Raw genomic sequence first — 19,024 nt, forward strand, 5'->3', positions numbered from 1 at the left:
CAGGAATTCGAGGCTGCAATGAGCCATGTTCACGCCACTCCAGCCTGGGTGACAAAGCAAGACCCTGTGAAAGAAGAAAGAAGATGATGATGATGACACAGACACTCAGAGGAAAATGCAATATGGAGATGTAGGCAGAGATTAGAGTAAGACAACTACAATCTAAGGAAAACAGGATTGCAGGCAGCCACCAAGAGCTGGAAAAAGTGAAAAATAGATTATCCTGTAGAGCCCCTTGAGGGAGTACAGTCCTGCCAACACTTTGATTTCAGACTTCTGGTTTCCCAGGCTAAATGAAGATACTCCTCTATGCCATTCACCACTGTGTTAAATCCTTGCAAGGAATCTTCCAACAGGTGGTGTCAGACAAACACAGGTGCACATACACTAAGACATCCAAGGTATCTACAAATACCTACACAGCAGGGACTGGGAGATGGAAGGTGTGTTAAGTGTGTTGGGTGTGGTATTACTCAAGTCTCACCACTACAGAGAATCAGTTTTCCAGAATTTCTCAAGCAAATTTTATTATTAATTGAGCAGGAAAGGAGGACATGGATGCTTTTCTCTTTTTTGGTGTTGGGTTTTTTTAAATATTAAAAAACGGTTAACTAAGTGTTCACTCTTCACATGTGGACATAACCACATTTTTTGTCTCTTTTTTTAAAATCCTTTCTTTGTGAAAAAAGTAGTGCCATGGGATTTCCAATGGGAGAGAGCTACTGTGTTTTACTTTTTGATATGCACTATAAAGAATGATCTTCTAACCCATGTCTGTTTTTACGCTGCCTATACTAAAGCATTTGTTGCATCTATTTAAATGCTATGTTTCTCCAAAAAGGGAGGTGGAAGCCAGTTGGAAAATATGGTGGGTTAAGGAAAAGACTCTTCAGGAAAGGATAGCATTATTTTTGAAAACATCATTCATCAAAAATGACTCCTTATGTTTGAAAATATCTGCAGGGCTCCTTTATTTGTAAGTAGGTAGTGTAAGGACACAGAGATAGAGACCTTTTTTTAGGCTAAAATAATTCTTTTTTTTTCATACTTTAAGTTTTAGGGTACATGTGCACAATGTGCAGGTTAGTTACATATGTATACATGTGCCATGCGGGTGTGCTGCACCCATTAACTCGTCATTTAGCATTAAGTATATCTCCTAATGCTATCCCTCCCCACTCCCCGCACCCCAGAACAGTCCCCAGAGTGTGATGTTCCCCTTCCTTTGTCCATATGTTCTCATTGTTCAATTCCCATCTATGAGTGAGAACATGTGGTGTTTGGTTTCTTGTTCTTGCGATAGTTTACTGAGAATCATGATTTCCAACTTCATCCATGTCCCTACAAAGAACATGAACTCATCATTTTTTATGGCTGCATATCATTCCATGGTGTATATGTGCCACATTTTCTTAATCCAGTCTATCATTGTTGGACATTTGGGTTGGTTCCAAGTCTTTGCTATTGTGAATAGTGCCACAATAAACATACGTGTGCATGTGTCTTTATAGTAGCATGATTTATAGTCCTTTGGGTATATACCCAGTAATGGGATGGCTGGGTCAAATGGTATTTCTAGTCCTAGATCCCTGAAGAATCGCCACACTGACTTCCACAATGGTTGAACTAGTTTACAGTCCCATCAACAGTGCAAAAGTGTTCCTATTTCTCCACATCCTCTCCAGCACCTGTTGTTTCCTGACTTTTTAATGATTGCCATTCTAACTGGTGTGAGATGGTGTCTCATTGTGGTTTTGGTTTGCATTTCTCTGATGGCCAGTGATGGTGAGCATTTTTTCATGTGTTCTTTGGTTGCATAAATGTCTTCTCTGAGAAGTGTCTGTTCATGTCCTTCGCCCACTTTTTGATGGGGTTGTTTTTTTCTTGTAAATTTGTTTGAGTTCATTGTAGATTCTGGATATTAGCCCTTTGTCAGATGAGTAGATTGCAAAAATTTCCTCCCATTGTGTAGGCTGCCTGTTCACTCTGATGGTAGTTTCTTCTGCTGTGCAGAAGCTCTTTAGTTTAATTAGATCCCATTTGTCAATTTTGGCTTTTGTTGCCATTGCTTTTGGTGTTTTAGACATGAAGTCCTTGCCCATGCCTATGTCCTGAATGGTAATGCCTAGGTTTTCTTCTAGGATTTTTATGGTTTTAGGTCTAACGTTTAAGTCTTTAATCCATCTTGAATTAATTTTTGTATAAGTTGTAAGGAAGGGATACAGTTTCAGCTTTCTACATATGGCTAGCCAGTTTTCCCAGCACCATTTATTAAATAGGGAATCCTTTCCCCATTGCTTGTTTTTCTCAGGTTTCTCAAAGATCAGATAGTTGTAGATATGAAGCATTATTTCTGAGGGCTCTGCTCTGTTCCATTGATCTATATCTCTGTTTTGGTACCAGTACCATGCTGTTTTGGTACCAGTACCATGCTGTTTTGGTTACTGTAGCCTTGTAGTTTGAAGTCAGGTAGTGTGATGCCTCCAGCTTTGTTCTTTTGGGTTAGGATTGACTCGGCAATGCGGGCTCTTTTTGGGTTCCATATGAACTTTAAAATAGTTTTTTCCAATTCTGTGAAGAAAGTCATTGGTAGCTTGATGGGGATGGCATTGAATCTATAAATTACCTTGGGCAGTATGGCCATTTTCACGATATTGATTCTTCCTACCCATGAGCATGGAATGTTCTTCCATTTGTTTGTATCCTCTTTTATTTCATTGAGCAGTGGTTTGTAGTTCTCCTTGAAGAGGTCCTTCATGTCCCTTGTAAGTTGGATTCCCAGGTATTTTATTCTCTTTGAAGCAATTGTGAATGGGAGTTCACTCATGATTTGGCTGTCTGTTATTGGTGTATAAGAATGCTTGTGATTTTTGCACATTGATTTTGTATCCTGAGACTTTGCTGAAGTTGTTTATCAGCTAAGGGAGATTTTGGGCTGAGACAATGGGGTTTTCTAGATATACAATCATGTCATCTGCAAACAGGGACAATTTGACTTCCTCTTTTCCTAATTGAATACCCTTTATTTCCTTCTCCTGCCTAATTGCCCTGGCCAGAACTTCCAACACTATGTTGAATAGGAGTGGTGAGAGAGGGCATCCCTGTCTTGTGCCAGTTTTCAAAGGGAATGCTTCCAGTTTTTGCCCATTCAGTATGATATTGGCTGTGGGTTTGTCATAGATAGCTCTTATTATTTTGAGATACGTCCCATCAATACCTAATTTATGGAGAGTTTTTAGCATGAAGCATTGTTGAATTTTGTCAAAGGCCTTTTCTGCATCTATTGAGATAATCATGTGGTTTTTGTCTTTCGTTCTGTTTACATGCTGGATTACATTTATTGATTTGCATATATTGAACCAGTCTTGCATCCCAGGGATGAAGCCCACTTGATCATGGTGGATAAGCTTTTTGATGTGCTGCTGGATTCGTTTTGCCAGTATTTTATTGAGGATTTTTGCATCAATGTTCATCAAGGATATTGGTCTAAAATTCTCTTTTTTGGTTGTGTCTCTGTCAGGCTTTGGTATCAGGATGACGCTGGCCTCATAAAATGAGTTAGGGAGGATTCCCTCTTTTTCTATTGATTGGAATAGTTTCAGAAGGAATGGTACCAATTCCTCCTTGTACCTCTGGTAGAATTCGGCTGTGAATCCATCTGGTCCTGGACTCTTTTTGGTTGGTAAGCTATTGACTATTGCCACAATTTCAGAGCCTGCTATTGGTCTATTCAGAGATTCAACTTCTTCCTGGTTTAATCTTGGGAGGGTGTATGTGTCGAGGAATTTATCCATTTCTTCTAGATTTTCTAGTTTATTTGCATAGAGGTGTTTGTAGTATTCTCTGATGGTAGTTTGTATTTCTGTGGGATTGGTGGTGATTTCACCTTTATCATTTTTTATTGTGTCTATTTGATTCTTCTCTCTTTTCTTCTTTATTAGTCTTGCTAGCGGTCTATCAATTTTGTTGATCCTTTCAGAAAACCAGCTCCTGGATTCATTAATTTTTTGAAGGGTTTTTTGTGTCTCTATTTCCTTCAGTTCTACTCTGATTTTAGTTACTTCTTGCCTTCTGCTAGCTTTTGAATGTGTTTGCTCTTGCTTTTCTAGTTCTTTTAACTGTGATGTTAGGGTGTCAATTTTGGATCTTTCCTGCTTTCTCTTGTGGGCATTTAATGCTATAAATTTCACTCTACACACTGCTTTGAATGTGTCCCAGAGATTCTTGTATATTGTGTCTTTGCTATCATTGGTTTCAAAGAACATCCTTATTTCTGCCTTCATTTTGTTATGTACCCAGTAGTCATTCAGGAGCAGGTTGTTCAGTTTCCATGTAGTTGAGTGGTTTTGAGTGAGTTTCTTAATCCTGAGTTCTAGTTTGATTGCACTGTAGTTTGAGAGACAGTTTGTTATAATTTCTGTTCTTTTACATTTGCTGAGGAGAGCTTTACTTCCTGTTCCAAAATGTGGTCAATTTTGGAACAGGTGTGGTGCGGTGCTGAAAAGAATGTATATTCTGTTGATTTGGGGTGGAGAGTTCTGTAGATGTCTATTAGGTCTGCTTGGTGCACAGCTGAGTTCAATTCCTGGATATCCTTGCTAACTTTCTGTCTGGTTGATCTGTCTAATGTTGACAGTGGGGTGTTAAAGTCTCCCATTATTATTGTGTGGGAGTCTAAGTCTCTATGTAGGTCACTCAGGACTTGCTTTATGAATCTGGGTGCTCCTGTATTGGGTGCATATATATTTAAGACAGTTAGCTCTTCTTGTTGAATTGATCCCTTCACCATTATGTAATGGCCTTCTTTGTCTCTTTTGATCTTTGTTGGTTTAAAGTCTGTTTTATCAGAGACTAGGATTGCAACCCCTGCCTTTTTTTGTTTTCCATTTGCTTGGTAGATCTTCCTCCATCCTTTTATTTTGAGCCTATGTGTGTCTCTGCACGTGAGATGGGTTTCCTGAATACAGCACACTGATGGGTCTTGACTCTTTATCCAATTTGCCAGTCTGTGTCTTTTAATTGGAGCATTTAGTCCATTTACATTTAAAGTTAATATTGTTATGTGTGAATTTGATCCTGTCATTTTGATGTTAGCTGGTTATTTTGCTCGTTAGTTGATACAGTTTCTTCCTAGCCTCGATGGTCTTTACAATTTGGCATGATTTTGCAGTGGCTGGTACCGGTTGTTCCTTTCCATGTTTAGTGCTTCCTTCAGGAGCTCTTTTAGGGCAGGCCTGGTGGTGACAAAATCACTCAGCATTTGCTTATCTGCAAAGTATTTTATTTCTCCTTCACTTATGAAGCTTAGTTTGGCTGGATATGAAATTCTGGGTTGAAAATTCTTTTCTTTAAGAATGTTGAATATTGGCCCCCACTGTCTTCTGGCTTGTAGAGTTTCTGCTGAGAGATCAGCTGTTAGTCTGATGGGCTTCCCTTTGTGGGTAACCCGACCTTTCTCTCTGGCTGCCCTTAACATTTTTTCCTTCATTTCAACTTTGGTGAATCTGACAATTATGTGTCTTGGAGTTGCTCTTCTCGAGGAGTATCTTTGTGGCATTCTCTGTATTTCCTGAATCTGAATGTTGGCCTGCCTTGCTAGATTGGGGAAGTTCTCCTGGATAATATCCTGCAGAGTGTTTTCCAACTTGGTTCCATTCTCCCCGTCACTTTCAGGTACACAGTGAGATGAAGATCTGGTCTTTTCACATAGTCCCATATTTCTTGGAGGCTTTGTTCATTTCTTTTTGTTCTTTTTCTCTAAACTTCCCTTCTCGCTTCATTTCATTCATTTCGTCTTCCATCACTGATACCCTTTCTTCCAGTTGATCGCATCGGCTCCTGAGGCTTCTGCATTCTTCACGTAGTTCTCGAGCCTTGGCTTTCAGCTCCATCAGCTCCTTTAAGCACTTCTCTGTATTGGTTATTCTAGTTATACATTCTTCTAAATTTTTTTCAAAGTTTTCAACTTCTTTGCCTTTGGTTTGAATTTCCTCCTGTAGCTTGGAGTAGTTTGATCGTCTGAAGCCTTCTTCTCTCAACTCGTCAAAGTCATTCTCCGTCCAGCTTTGTTCCATTGCTGGTGAGGAGCTGCGTTCCTTTGGAGGAGGAGAGGCACTCTGCTTTTTAGAGTTTCCAGTTTTTCTGCTCTGTTTTTTCCCCATCTTTGTGGTTTTATCTACTTTTGGTCTTTGATGATGGTGATGTACAGATGGGTTTTTGGTGTGGATGTCCTTTCTGTTTGTTAGTTTTCCTTCTAACAGACAGGACCCTCAGCTGCAGGTGTGTTGGAGTTTGCTAGAGGTCCACTCCAGACTCGGTTTGCCTGGGTACCAGCAGCGGTGGCTGCAGAACAGCGGATTTTCATGAACCGCGAATGCTGCTGTCTGATCGTTCCTCTGGAAGTTTTGTCTCAGAGGAGTACCCGGCCGTGTGAGGTGTCAGTCTGCCCCTACTTGGGGGTGCCTCCCAGTTAGGCTGCTCCGGGGTCAGGGGTCAGGGACCCACTTGAGGAGGCAGTCTGCCCATTCTCAGATCTCCAGCTGCGTGCTGGGAGAACCACTGCTCTCTTCAAAGCTGTCAGACAGGGACATTTAAGTCTGCAGAGGTTACTGCTGTCTTTTTGTTTGTCTGTGCCCTGCCTCCAGAGGTGAAGCCTACAGAGGCAGGCAGGCCTCCTTGAGCTGTGGTGGGCTCTACCCAGTTGGAGCTTCCCGGCTGCTTTGTTTACCTAAGCAAGCTTGGGTAATGGCGGGCGCCCCTCCCCCAGCCTCGCTGCCGCCTTGCAGTTTGATCTCAGACTGCTGTCCTAGCAATCAGCGAGACTCCGTGGGCGTAGGACCCTCTGATCCAAGTGCGGGATATAATCTCCTGGTGAGCCGTTTTTTAAGCCCCTCGGAAAAGCGCAGTATTAGGGTGGGAGCGACCCGATTTTCCAGGTGCCGTCTGTCACCCCTTTCTTTGACTAGGAAAGGGAACTCCCTGACCCTTTGCACTTCCCGAGTGAGGCAATGCCTCGCCCTGCTTCGGCTCGCGCACGGTGCACTGCATCCACTGTCCTGCGCCCACTGTCTGGCACTCCCTAGTGAGATGAACCCAGTACCTCAGATGGAAATGCAGAAATCACCCGTCTTCTGCGTCGCTCACGCTGGGAGCTGTAGACCAGAGCTGTTCCTATTCGGCCATCTTGGCTGCTTCCCCAATAAAATCAATAATTCTTAATTTACTCTTAAACAGAGATTGTCATGCTTTATGTGAGTTAAATTTCCAGAAAGTTGACAAGTGCCTCCAATTATCTCCTTAAATCACATTTGACATAAATCTTCCAAAATACACTATTTATTTACACATCTTTTTTTAAAGTTATAAACATTCAGTATTGCATTGCATAGAAGTAAAAATTCTTGGTTTGATTTCTATTTTCTTTCCTTTGCCTGATTCAAGAAATCATCAGGTACTTCTCCTGCTGTCCACAGAGTGATCCATACAGTTCTTTCCTTACCCCTTTCCCTATGCTGAACAACAGGTAAGCAAACACAAAGGGTTTTTACAGGTTACGCCTGTACTCCCAACTACTCAGGAGGCTGAGGCAGGATAATTGCTTGACCCAGGGAGGCGAAGATTGCAGTGAGCCTAGATGGCGCCACTGCACTCCAGCCTGGGTGACACAGCGAGAATCCATCAAGGAAAAAAATACAAAAATTTGCTGGGTGTAGTGGTGTGCACCTGTAGTTCCAGGTATTCGAGAGGCTGAGGTGGGAGGATTGCTTGAGCCTGGGAGGTTGAGGGCTGCAGTGAGCTGTGATTGTGCCACTGCACTCCTTCCTGCCTGGGTGACACAGTGAGACCCTGTCACATGGATGGAAGGAAGGGAGGGAGGGAGGGAGGGAAAAGAAAGGAAAGGAAAAAAGTAAAGAGAAAAGAAAAGAAAGAGGGAAGGAAGGACGGAAGGAAGGAAATGATACTATTTATTCATCTCCTGATTTAAAATATATACATATATATACATACTTCCTAAGGCTGAGTGCACTGGCTTACGCCTATAATCCCAGTACTTTGGGAGACCGAGGCAGGTGGATCACTTGAGGTCAGGAGTTCAAGATCAGTCTGGCCAACATGGTGAAACCCCGTCACTACTAAAAATACAAAAAATTAGCTTGGCATGGTGGTGCGCACTTGTAATCCCAGCTACTTGGGAGACTGAGCTGAGACAGGAGAATCGCTTGAAACCGGGAGGCAGAGGTTGCAGCAAGCCAAGACTGCCACCGTACTCCAGCCCAGACAACAGAGCGAGACTTTGTCTCAAAAAAAAATATATATATATATATATCTATACACACACATATATATACACACACACACTCACACACACACACTCTCTCTCTCTCACACTCACTTCCTAAAGGCCTGAGAAAAAGAGAAGACTGATCTCCTCAAAAGTATGTGGTTAACTGAATTCAAAACTAAATTTTTTTAACTATTCTATTTATCTAACTGATCAAAATTAATTTGGTGGTTTCATATTTAACTTTATAAAATAAACTGAGTTTTAATTTAAAAAAATTTGTTTCACTTAACATTCTGATTAGACTTACTCCCATTTGCCACTACTCACTAATTTTAATCTCATAGCTGAATATAAATTTATAAGCACTTTTATCCCTCTCCTGTTTAAAAGCTTTATATGTTTCAATGTGTACATCATCATTTCCCTTTACTAAACAGATAATCATTACTGTCTACCACAGTGAAGATTCGGTTTACATATACTACAAGTTTCTTTGGGGGGAAGAAAAAGTTGTATGGAAACTAACAAATTTGGTTAACTCCTTGCCATCAAACAAATCCAGTGTTTTTAATAGTTCTTCTTATTAGAAAATTTCTCCTTGAACATCTATATTCCAAATATTCCTTATTCTGCCCAGGAATGATAAAAGAAATAATCAATCTCTGACAAACTGATAAACTAAAGCATATAAAACAAATGACCTCAGACTTAACACCTTTGAAAGACCCATTCTCAAATAACTGCAAATTTCCAATTTAACCACTTTCATTTTCTAATTTAGTGCCATCTTTAAGTTCTTCGTATCCCTCAGACTATGACACCCTAAATATATGTCCTACAAAAACCTTAATCAGTGAAAAACAGTATTAATTTGTGGCCACTTAAGGAGAAGCAACTCCATTCTAAATTATCCAAGCTCAAGGCATCTCTTTTTGCCCCTAATTTTTGCTGGCCTAAGCAATACTACTTTACAAACAGGCCTGGTACCTAAACACGGTAAAAGGCTGAGAAAATGACTGGGAAACCAAATCCCAGTTCACTCAGTCTACAAGGCAGCACCACTGTTCTGGAGTGTTCCTAATTATATACAGCTAGTGGGCAGGCATAGTGGAAAGGGCTAGAACTCTGTGAGGATGAATGCAAGGCATTTCAGAAAGACTGGCTAGAATCCTCACTCCAATTAGGCAATACCACCAGTGGCTGGGCACCCCACTATAGATGGAGGCTGGGGAAACTCACCCACCACATCCTAACTTTGTCTCTAACTTTGTTCTAGATAGCCATGTATATGTAGTAAATTGTATCATTTACTTATATTAAAATAACTATCAGGTTTTTTGCCTGTTATCAGCTGTGGGGTCTTCATGTCAATCACATCTTTGTCTCATTGTGGCAACTTTGTAGATTATTGATTACCTCATTAGCCTATATGTCTACCAAAACATGGCTGGAAAACAAAACTTTAAAAATTGAAATCTTACCTAGGTTACCATATTTCCTGCTACTCTGGAAAACTTAGAGGGTTCAGATTTTAAATCAGTAATTATAATATTGTGATTACATGGTTTTAAAATGTCTTATTTTTGTTAGCCGCTCCTCCACTTGCACTGAGTTGGGATATTAACACAGAGGATATTTCTTTGGTGTCTAGGCAAAAACACAGAACAAACTGAGTTCATATCTCAGTTCTGCCACTGACAAGTTATGTCATCTTAAATAACATAATCTTATCCATTTCATCCAATCCACCCAATGGAGGATAAAATATTTATTTCACAAAATTACTACAGTACAAAAAAAAATGTTGGTAAAAAACTTCAATATTTCACTCACTTACCATAGTGTCATATCCTACCAGCTTTCTCATATCTTAACTACCACTTTATCTCCTCTCTAACCTCCTGAGATTCTGATTTAATCTGTTTAGGGTAGGGCTCCCCACATGACGGCTATGCAGCAAGCATGGAGAACACTACCTATTCTTTGATCACCCCATTTCCTTACACTCTCTCTTTTCTTTCCAGACTGTGCCCTGTTAGTAACCCCTTGAACTGTCTCTCAGCAGCATCCTTAAATTCCCTATAGCCCCATCCTTCTAAGACACTCATTCATTAAAACCCAAACCCTCCATATCAAGGCCATAATGCATTCTACTGCACAGCAGAGCACACTACCATAGGAAGGCCCACAAACCAGGATTAATTACACTATACTTTCCCAATTACCAATTTTAGCTGGGCCCTCAACAATTTTTCTCTCTTGGACAGCTCTTTCTTTCATTGCCCTCACTATACCCCCCACAAAACTACTGTAAACCTTGATGAAACAGTAAAGTTTATTAATTCTATTAAATTTCTACACTTGAATATGTATTTTTAATATTCTACATTGACAAAATGGAAAATATGCATAAAGCACTTCCCCACATATCAAAGAACAACAATAATCTGAAAAAAAGCAGTTGTGTGACTGAGCTGCAAGCTAAATAAACTACAAGGCTCTTTTCAAAGAACATCATTTTTACTTGAAGAATAACTAACAGAAAACTAAGGTTACACAGACTTGGGTATTTGACAGACATTTTCTCAAAAAGGAACCAAGTGAACCTGTCATTTCAAGGAAAACAAAAGGCAGTACTTGTTACCAGTGATAAAACTATCTGTTACATGATCTCAACAGCTTCCAATACTTGCAGTTCAATACTCTACTTTGTAAGACAGCTCACAAACACAAGAAAAGTTAAATAATGATATTATTTAAATAGGAAATAAACTATATTATGTTTGGAAATGCACGAGGCAACACTTGATTAACTGTCCAAAGAACTGGACTGTGAAGAAATTGCCTATATACAAAATATGAGGAAAAAGAGAAATTTACTTGGGCGATAGCTGTCAAGAATGGCTCTACACAGGCATAAAATCCAAGTTGGGACTTGAAAAACTGGTAGGATTTAGATTTAAAAAAAAAAAAACAGTGAGCAAGGCATCCTAGGAAGTTTGCAATACAGGTATATTTTTTTCTAAAAGAAATATTATTTTCAGGTATATTTTTAATAATGTATAATGTATTCATTCAAACTCTCAGGTAATATTAGAAGATCCTTAAAGGAAGAGGCCACATATTACAATTCTCTGCTATCTGAGCACAGGATCAAATTTAACATGTTGAACTATTTGGTTGGAAAAATAAGATTTACACAGGGAAGAAGCAGAATAGTAATAATGGAAGTCCTAAGTTAAATCCCAGCTCTTGTACTTACCTAGGTTGCCTTGGGTAATTTAGTAAACCTCACTGATTCAAACTCAAATACACCTACTTTGAGGATCACCCTACAAACATCCTAACTAAAAGAACCACAGATAACTAATGATCAGAGATGAAATAAGACTTTGTGTTCCTGTTTTTATGCTGACCTTGTTGTTTTTCAAGTTATTTTCAAACAATTGATGCATTTTTATCTTTCATTTACCAAAAGGAATTTATATACACCAGGAAGATGATACATATTGTATACAATTACATTACTCAAAGAACTCTAGGCTGGGCACACTGCTGTAATCCCAGCACTTTGGGAAGCTGAGGTGGGCGGATCGCTTGAGCCCAGAAGTTGGAGACCAGCCTGGGCAACATGGCGACACCTTGTCTCTACAAAAAATTAGTTGGGCATGGTGGTGCATACCTATAGTCCCAGCTACTCTGCAGGCTGAGGTGGGAGGATCACCTGAGCCCAGGAGGTCGAGGCTCGAGTGAGCCATGATCGCACTACTACAATCCAGGCTGGGTGACAGAGTGAGACCTTATCTCAAAAGAAAAAAAAAAAAAACTCTCTTTAAAATGTTTCAATACAGCAGACAGATTTTTAAATATTTTCTGTATAATACACTGTTACCTATATTATCGAAATTTAACCCACAATGGCATTATAATATCAGATGTAATTCCAATTTATTCTTCTTCAGATATTCTAAAATATCTGAATTTTTATGCATTCTTCCTCTTTCTATCTATTTACTTCACATTCCTCCAGCCACCATGATATTATCTTCTCTTTTCTACAAATACACACATACATACACTCCTCCCCTCATTCCTACATCCTTATTGAGATAACTACAGCCACTAGAGGGCAATAAGTATACAAAGATCAGTGTACCTATTTATGATGATGAACTTATCTATATGATTCACATAGTAATAAACCTAAAAAGTATATCATCACAAACCCTGAAACACAGGCAATTAGACTTGAATATGCAAAATATATATTTCAAACTCAAAAATTATCCTGCAGAGTTCACAGAAGCATATAATGATGTTCAAAAAAGGAATTCCATTTTCTCAGCATGCATTCATTAAAAAAAATTAGCCGAATTCCTTTATATGTGCATAGTAATATTAGAAATTAGGATTGCTTAATACCATCCTCAGACCAAAGAAGAGAAAAGGCAGAAAAAAAAAAACACACAGTAAGGTATAAATCACAGAGTGGGTAAAAAAGTGAGAAATGATTACTTCCAACTCTTTCACTACCACAATCAAGAAAACAATAAACTGAAGAGCAAAGAGGATTTACCAACCCTTTCTTCTATTGAAAAGCAAGCAAAAATTTTACAAGTATATTTTTGGGGGAGGAGAACAGTGATGGTAGAGATATACAAAGCCTTCAGTTCTTTTCTCACAATTAAGAATGCAGAAGGAAGAGAAGTTAACAGTTACTAATCTTTAAGAGGTAATTTTACCATTTTTAAAAAGAATACATTTAAATGAACTTATTTAGTTTATATTTACTTACATTGACATTACAAAACGGCAACACTTATATAAGGCTAACATTTTCAGCAAACCATAATTTTCTTACCCTCATTGGATGTATATCAGCATAAGGAGGTTTTCCTTCAGCCATTTCTATAGAAGTAATGCCAAGGGACCAGATGTCGGCCACACAGTTATAGCCTATTTCTTGAATCACCTCAGGAGCCATCCAAAATGGAGTTCCTATTACAGTATTGCGTTTTGCCATTGTATCCTGCAATAATGTTACATAGCCATAAATGCTACTACAAAAGCACAAAGGAAATCTGTATGCCAAACATACTTTTAAAAAATGTTAAAACCTCCAATGCCACAGATTATATCAGAAATTGACTATTTTGCTAAAATTTCAACTAGTTATGACATACTTAGGAATTCCGAATTCTGAAAATAACCAAGAGTCCACAGGTAACTTATCCACACTACCATCATTAAACACAGTCATTAAAGATAGTGCTACAATGATAAAAGCTACAGAAATGAGCTACGTAGCTTCCCTTTTAGAACATTTAAGCATTTTGATTATAAGATATATTTTCACATTCAATCACCCTAAATTATAAATTAAATAATACTCAAATTTGGCTCAATTATGGTTCCTTCTCCACAAAAATTAAAAAACTACACATTTCTTTCCATTCCCCCTCAAAAAGTAATTGAAGTTTAGTTATAATCAAATCTGAACAAATTAGCCAAGTGTTTAGAAAACCATTAAAGTTAACTTACTGTTAACTGACCAGCCACTCCAAAATCTGCCAATTTTGCATGTCCTTCTGTATTGAGGAGAATATTTCCAGCTTTTATATCTCTGTGTATTTTTCTCATAAAGTGCAAATATTCTAGTCCTTTCAATGTAGATTTAAGAATGGTTGCAATTTCATCTTCTATTAACTGGAAAGAAATATTTTTAAAACCATAATTAAAATGCCACGTTAGATAAAATCTTACGAAAGAGCACTAGTAACAAGTATGTCTTTCCGTGTGTGTGTGTGTGTTTTTTTTTAAGAGACCCCACTCTGTTGCCCAGGCTACAGTGCAGTGGTGTGATGATAGCTCACTGCAGCCTAAAATTCCTGGGCTCAAGGCATGCTCCCACCTCAGCTTCCCGAGTAGCTAGAACTACAGGCACATGCCAACCCAATAGGCTAACTTATTTTTATTTTTGTAGAGATGGGGATCTCGCTATGTTGCCCGGGCTGGTCTTGAACTCTTTGCTTCAAACAATTCTCCTTCCTCAGCTTCCCAAAGTGTTGGGATTATAGGTGTGAGCCACCATGCCTAGCCACAAGTACTTCTTTCTAATGACCGCTAAACCTCCAGGAAAATGCTAAAGGGGTAAATAATCGAGAACCTCTTCTTCCCACAATAAGCTTTCTTATTACACATTTTACTAATGAAAGGATGATCAAATTTCTCTCTTTAAGATTATCAGTATCAGCAGGGCGTGGTGGCTCACACCTGTAATCCCAGCACTTTGGGAGGCTGAGGCGAGCAGATCACTTGAGGTCAGGAGTTCAAAACCAGCCTGGCCCACATGGTGAAACCTCGTCTCTACTAAAAATACAAAAATTAGCCAGGCGTGATGGCGTGCACTTGTAATCCCAGCTACTCAGGAGGCTGAGGCAGGAGAGTCACTTGAACCTGGGAGGCAGAGGTTGCAGTGAGCTGAGATCACATCACTGCATGCCAGCCTGGGCGACACAGCGAGACTCCATCTCAAAAAAAAAAAAAAATTATCAGTATCATTCCTAAAGCAAACAACATATCTCAAGAATCAGCCTGATATAAGGAATCATAATAGTGATTTCCCACATCTTCTAATACTGGGAGGGCACTATCACAGCTAATATCTGTTCTGAAAAAGTAAATTCAGATACTTCCCCTGAGATATTTCAGATTCTTGATGAAAATGAAACCAACAGCTTTACATAAAGGAAAGTAAATGAGGGAGGGAGGCTTGCAATGAATCTTCTGCGAGAAGCTCCTACACCAATGCCACTCCTAACCCTTCCAAGTTCTGGACTTCTGACCTAATATTGAGAACTCAGAAGAAAAAACGTCAGAGAAAGATTAGGAAAATGGAAACACAAGCAAAGACTATCAGAGGAGGGAAAAAGGGGAGAGTAGAGAAGGCCGAGGAAGAGACGGATGGGAAAGAAAGAAAATCTTCTTAACAGTTGTAGCAGTAGAGCCACTGCTATCTGTACCAGGCAATGTGCTAAGAGTTATGCATGCATTCTCTCATTTATTCTTAAAACAACCTTGTAAGGTAGTGTGATATTATGAAATCACAGGAAATATTTGGTCTTTGTAGGTTCTTGGCACAAAATCTCCTAAGACCCTGTGAATTGACTGAGTGAGTGAGAAGTTGAATCAAGATATTTTATCTTTGTTTTCTCACCCTCTCACAAGAGTGAGAGGGGCTGTCTTTTGTCATTCATAATAAGCTCCTTTCAACCATACCAGAATTTATACTGATCAGGTGACTCTTGGTGGGAGCCTAGATAGCTTCAGGATGGGAGCTGGTTGCCGAAAAAACCAACCAAGTGATTAGATGTTTGGAAATTTCTGCCTGACCCCTGACTTACGGGAGGGCTGCAAGGAGAGAGGGGGTAGAGATTTAGTTAAGCACAAATGTCCAAAGACTTAATCAATCATGCCTATGTAACAGAATCAACCATAAAAATTCTAAATGATTAGGGACTGCTCTCAAGCTTATATTCTATCTATAAGCAACGGGATAATTTGATAGAAAATAGGATAACACAGGAAAATGTCTGTGAAAATTGCTATGAGGACAACAATAGAGAGCTACTGATAGAGAACGACTGAGAAGCTACTTTAGATTGACATTCAAGAAGGCCCAAAAGACATTTTACTGAAGTCTAAATGATATAATGGGGCCAACCATGTGAATGGCTATCTGGGAACATACACTCCACAAAAAGGAAAAAAAAAGATTAAAATATCTTGATTCAACTTCTCAAATTTTCTAAAACACTGAAGAAAAGAGAACACTTCCACACTCATTTTAAGAGGCATTATTCTGATATCAAAGCCAGACAAAGTTACCACAAAACAACTAAGACCAATATCCCTTATGAACATTGATACAAAAATCCTCAACAAAATATAGCACACTCACTTCAACAGGATTGTAACAGGTTATACACTATGACCAACTGGAATGTATTCCTGGAATGCAAGGTTGATTCAACATACAAAATCGAACAATGCAATACACCACCTTAACAGAATGGAGAAGAAACCACATGATCATTTCAAATGAAAACAGAAAAAGCATTTGATTAAATTTAACTTCTTTTCATAAAACACACAACTAATATGAATAGAAGGAAACTATCTCACCATAGTAAAAGCCATATACAAAAAACCCAAAGTAAATGTCATACTCAAAGCAGTAAGACTGAAAGCTTTTCCACAAAGATCAGGAACAATGAAAGGATGCTATTAGGTTGGTGCAAAAGTAATCGCAGTTTTTGCCATTTTTTTTTTAAAGTAATGGCAAAAACCGAAATTACTTTTGCACCAGCCTAATACTTCTGTTACATATAGTACTGGAGGTTCTAGACAGAGCAATTAGGGAAGAAAAACAAATAAAGGCATCCAAACTGGAAAAAAAGAAGTAAAATTATCTCTGTTCACAGATGATATGATCATATATGTAGAAAATTCTAAAGATTCCACAAAAAAAACCTATTAGAACTAATAAATAGGGATGGAGACAAGACGGCTGAATAGGAACAGCTCCAGTCTAAAGCTCCCAGCGTGAGCATTGCAGAAGACACATGATTTCTGCATTTCCAACTGAGGTACCAGATTCATCTCACTGGGGAGTATCGGAAAGTGGGTGCAAGACAGTGGGTACAGTGCACTGAGCATGAGCTGAAGCAGGGCGGGGCATCACCTCACCTGGGAAGTGCAAGGGGTCAGGGAATTCCCTTTCCTAGTCAAAGAAAGGGGTGACAGATGGCACCTGGAAAATCAGGTCACTCCCACCCTAATACTGTGCTTTTCCAATGGTCTTAGCAAACGGCACACCAGGAGATTATATCCCGCGCCTGGCTTGGAGGGTCCTACACCCATGGAGCCTCGCTCACTGCTAGCACAACAGTGTGAGATCAAACTGCAATGCGGCAGCGAGGCTGGGGGAGGGGCGCCTGCCATTGCCCAGGCTTGAGTAGGTAAACAAAGCAGCCAGGAAGCTCAAACTGGGTGCAGCCCACCACAGCTCAAGGAGGCTGGCCTACCTCTGTAGACTCCACCTCTGGGGGCAGGGCATAGCCAAACAAGGCAGCAGAAACGTCTGCAGACTTAAATGTCCCTGTCTGACATCTTTGAAGAGAGTAGTGGTTCTCCCAGCACACAGCTGGAGATCTGAGAACAGACAGACTGCCTCCTCAAGTGGGTCACTGACCCCCAAGTAGCCTAACTGGGAGGCAGCCCCAAGTAGGGGCAGACTGACACCTCACACAGCCCGGTACTCCTCTGAGACAAAACTTCCAGAGGAACGATCAGGCAGCAACATTTGCTGTTCACCAATATCCACTGTTCTGCAGCCTCCATTGCTCATACCCAGGCAAACAGAGTCTGGAGTGGACCTCCAGCAAACTCCAACAGACCTGCAGCTGAGGGTCCTGACAGAAGGAAAACTAACAAACAGAAAGGACATCCACACCAAAACCCCATCTGTACATCACCATCATCAAAGACCAAAGGTAGATAAAACCACAAAGATGCAGAAAAAACAGAGCAGAAAAACTGGAAACTCTAAAAATAAGAGTGCCTCTCCTCCTCCAAAGGAACACAGCTCCTCACCAGCAATGGAACAAAGCTAGACAGAGAGTGACTTTGACAAGCTGAGAGAAGAAGGCTTCTGATGATCGAACTACTCCGAGCTAAAGGAGAAGTACGAACCCAGGCAAAGAAGTTAAAAACCTTGAAAAAAAAATTAGACAAATGGCTAACTAGAATAACCAATGCAGAGAAGTCCTTAAAGGACCTGATGGAGCTGAAAACCAAGGCACGAGAACTACGTGACAAATGCACAAGCCTCAGTAGCCGATTCAATCAACTGGAAGAAAGGGTATCAGTGATGGAAGATCAAATGAATGAAATGAAGTGAGAAGAGAAGTTTAGAGAAAAAAGAATAAAAAGAAATGAACAAAGCCTCCAAGAAATATGGGACTAGGTGAAAAGACCAAATCTATGTCTGATTGGTGTACCTGAAAGTGATGGGGAGAATGAAACCAAGTTGGAAAACACTCCGCAGGATATCATCCAGGAGAACTTCCTCAACCTACCAAGGCAGGCTACCATTGAAATTCAGGAAATACAGAGAACGCCACAAAGATACTCCTCAAGAAGAGCAACTCCAAGACACATAATTGTCAGATTCACCAAAGTTGAAATGAAGGAAAAAATGTTAACAGTAGCCAGAGAGAAAGGTCGGGTTACCCACAAAGGGAAGCCCATCAGACTGACAGCTGATCTCTCGGCAGAAACTCTACAAGCCAGAAGACAGGGGGGCCAATAGTCAAGATTCTTAAAGAAAAGAATTTTCAACCCAGAATTTCATATCCAGCCAAACTAAGCTTCATAAGTGAAGGAGAAATAAAATACTTTACAGACAAGCAAAGGCTGAGAGATTTTGTCACCACCAGGCCTGCCCTAAAAGAGCTCTTGAAGGAAGCAATAAACATGGAAAGGAACAACCAGTACCAGCCACTGCAAAAACATGCCAAATTGTAAGACCATGAATGCTAGGAAGAAACTGTATCAACTAACGAGCAAAATAACCAGCTAACATCATAATGACAGGATCAAATTCACACATAACAATATTAACCTTAAACGTAAATGGACTAAATGCTCCAATTAAAAGACACAGACTGGCAAAATTGG

At 39.7% G+C, this 19,024-nt stretch overlaps 1 protein-coding gene across 21 annotated transcripts in view; it reads right to left on the reverse strand.

Annotated features, from left to right (window-relative positions):
* Positions 1-19,024, reverse strand: part of STK3 (serine/threonine kinase 3) — a 598,636-nt gene that overhangs the window by 349,347 nt on the left and 230,265 nt on the right. For 18 of the 21 annotated variants that reach the window (XR_007060753.1, XR_007060752.1, XR_007060754.1 and 15 more), the window contains 2 exons: positions 13,826-13,990; positions 13,146-13,313 (listed from right to left, as the gene is read on the reverse strand). The exons of the other annotated variants lie outside the window; for them this stretch is intronic. Coding sequence is in view for 14 of the 18 variants with exons in the window: in XM_047422133.1 (XP_047278089.1) it covers positions 13,146-13,313; positions 13,826-13,990 (333 nt within the window). In the remaining 4 variants the exon portion in view is untranslated. The remainder of the gene's footprint in view (positions 1-13,145; positions 13,314-13,825; positions 13,991-19,024) is intronic. 21 annotated transcript variants of the gene reach the window in all.

Source organism: Homo sapiens, chromosome 8, assembly GCF_000001405.40.
Source record: "Homo sapiens chromosome 8, GRCh38.p14 Primary Assembly".
In the NCBI taxonomy this organism is placed as follows: Eukaryota; Metazoa; Chordata; class Mammalia; order Primates; family Hominidae; genus Homo; species Homo sapiens.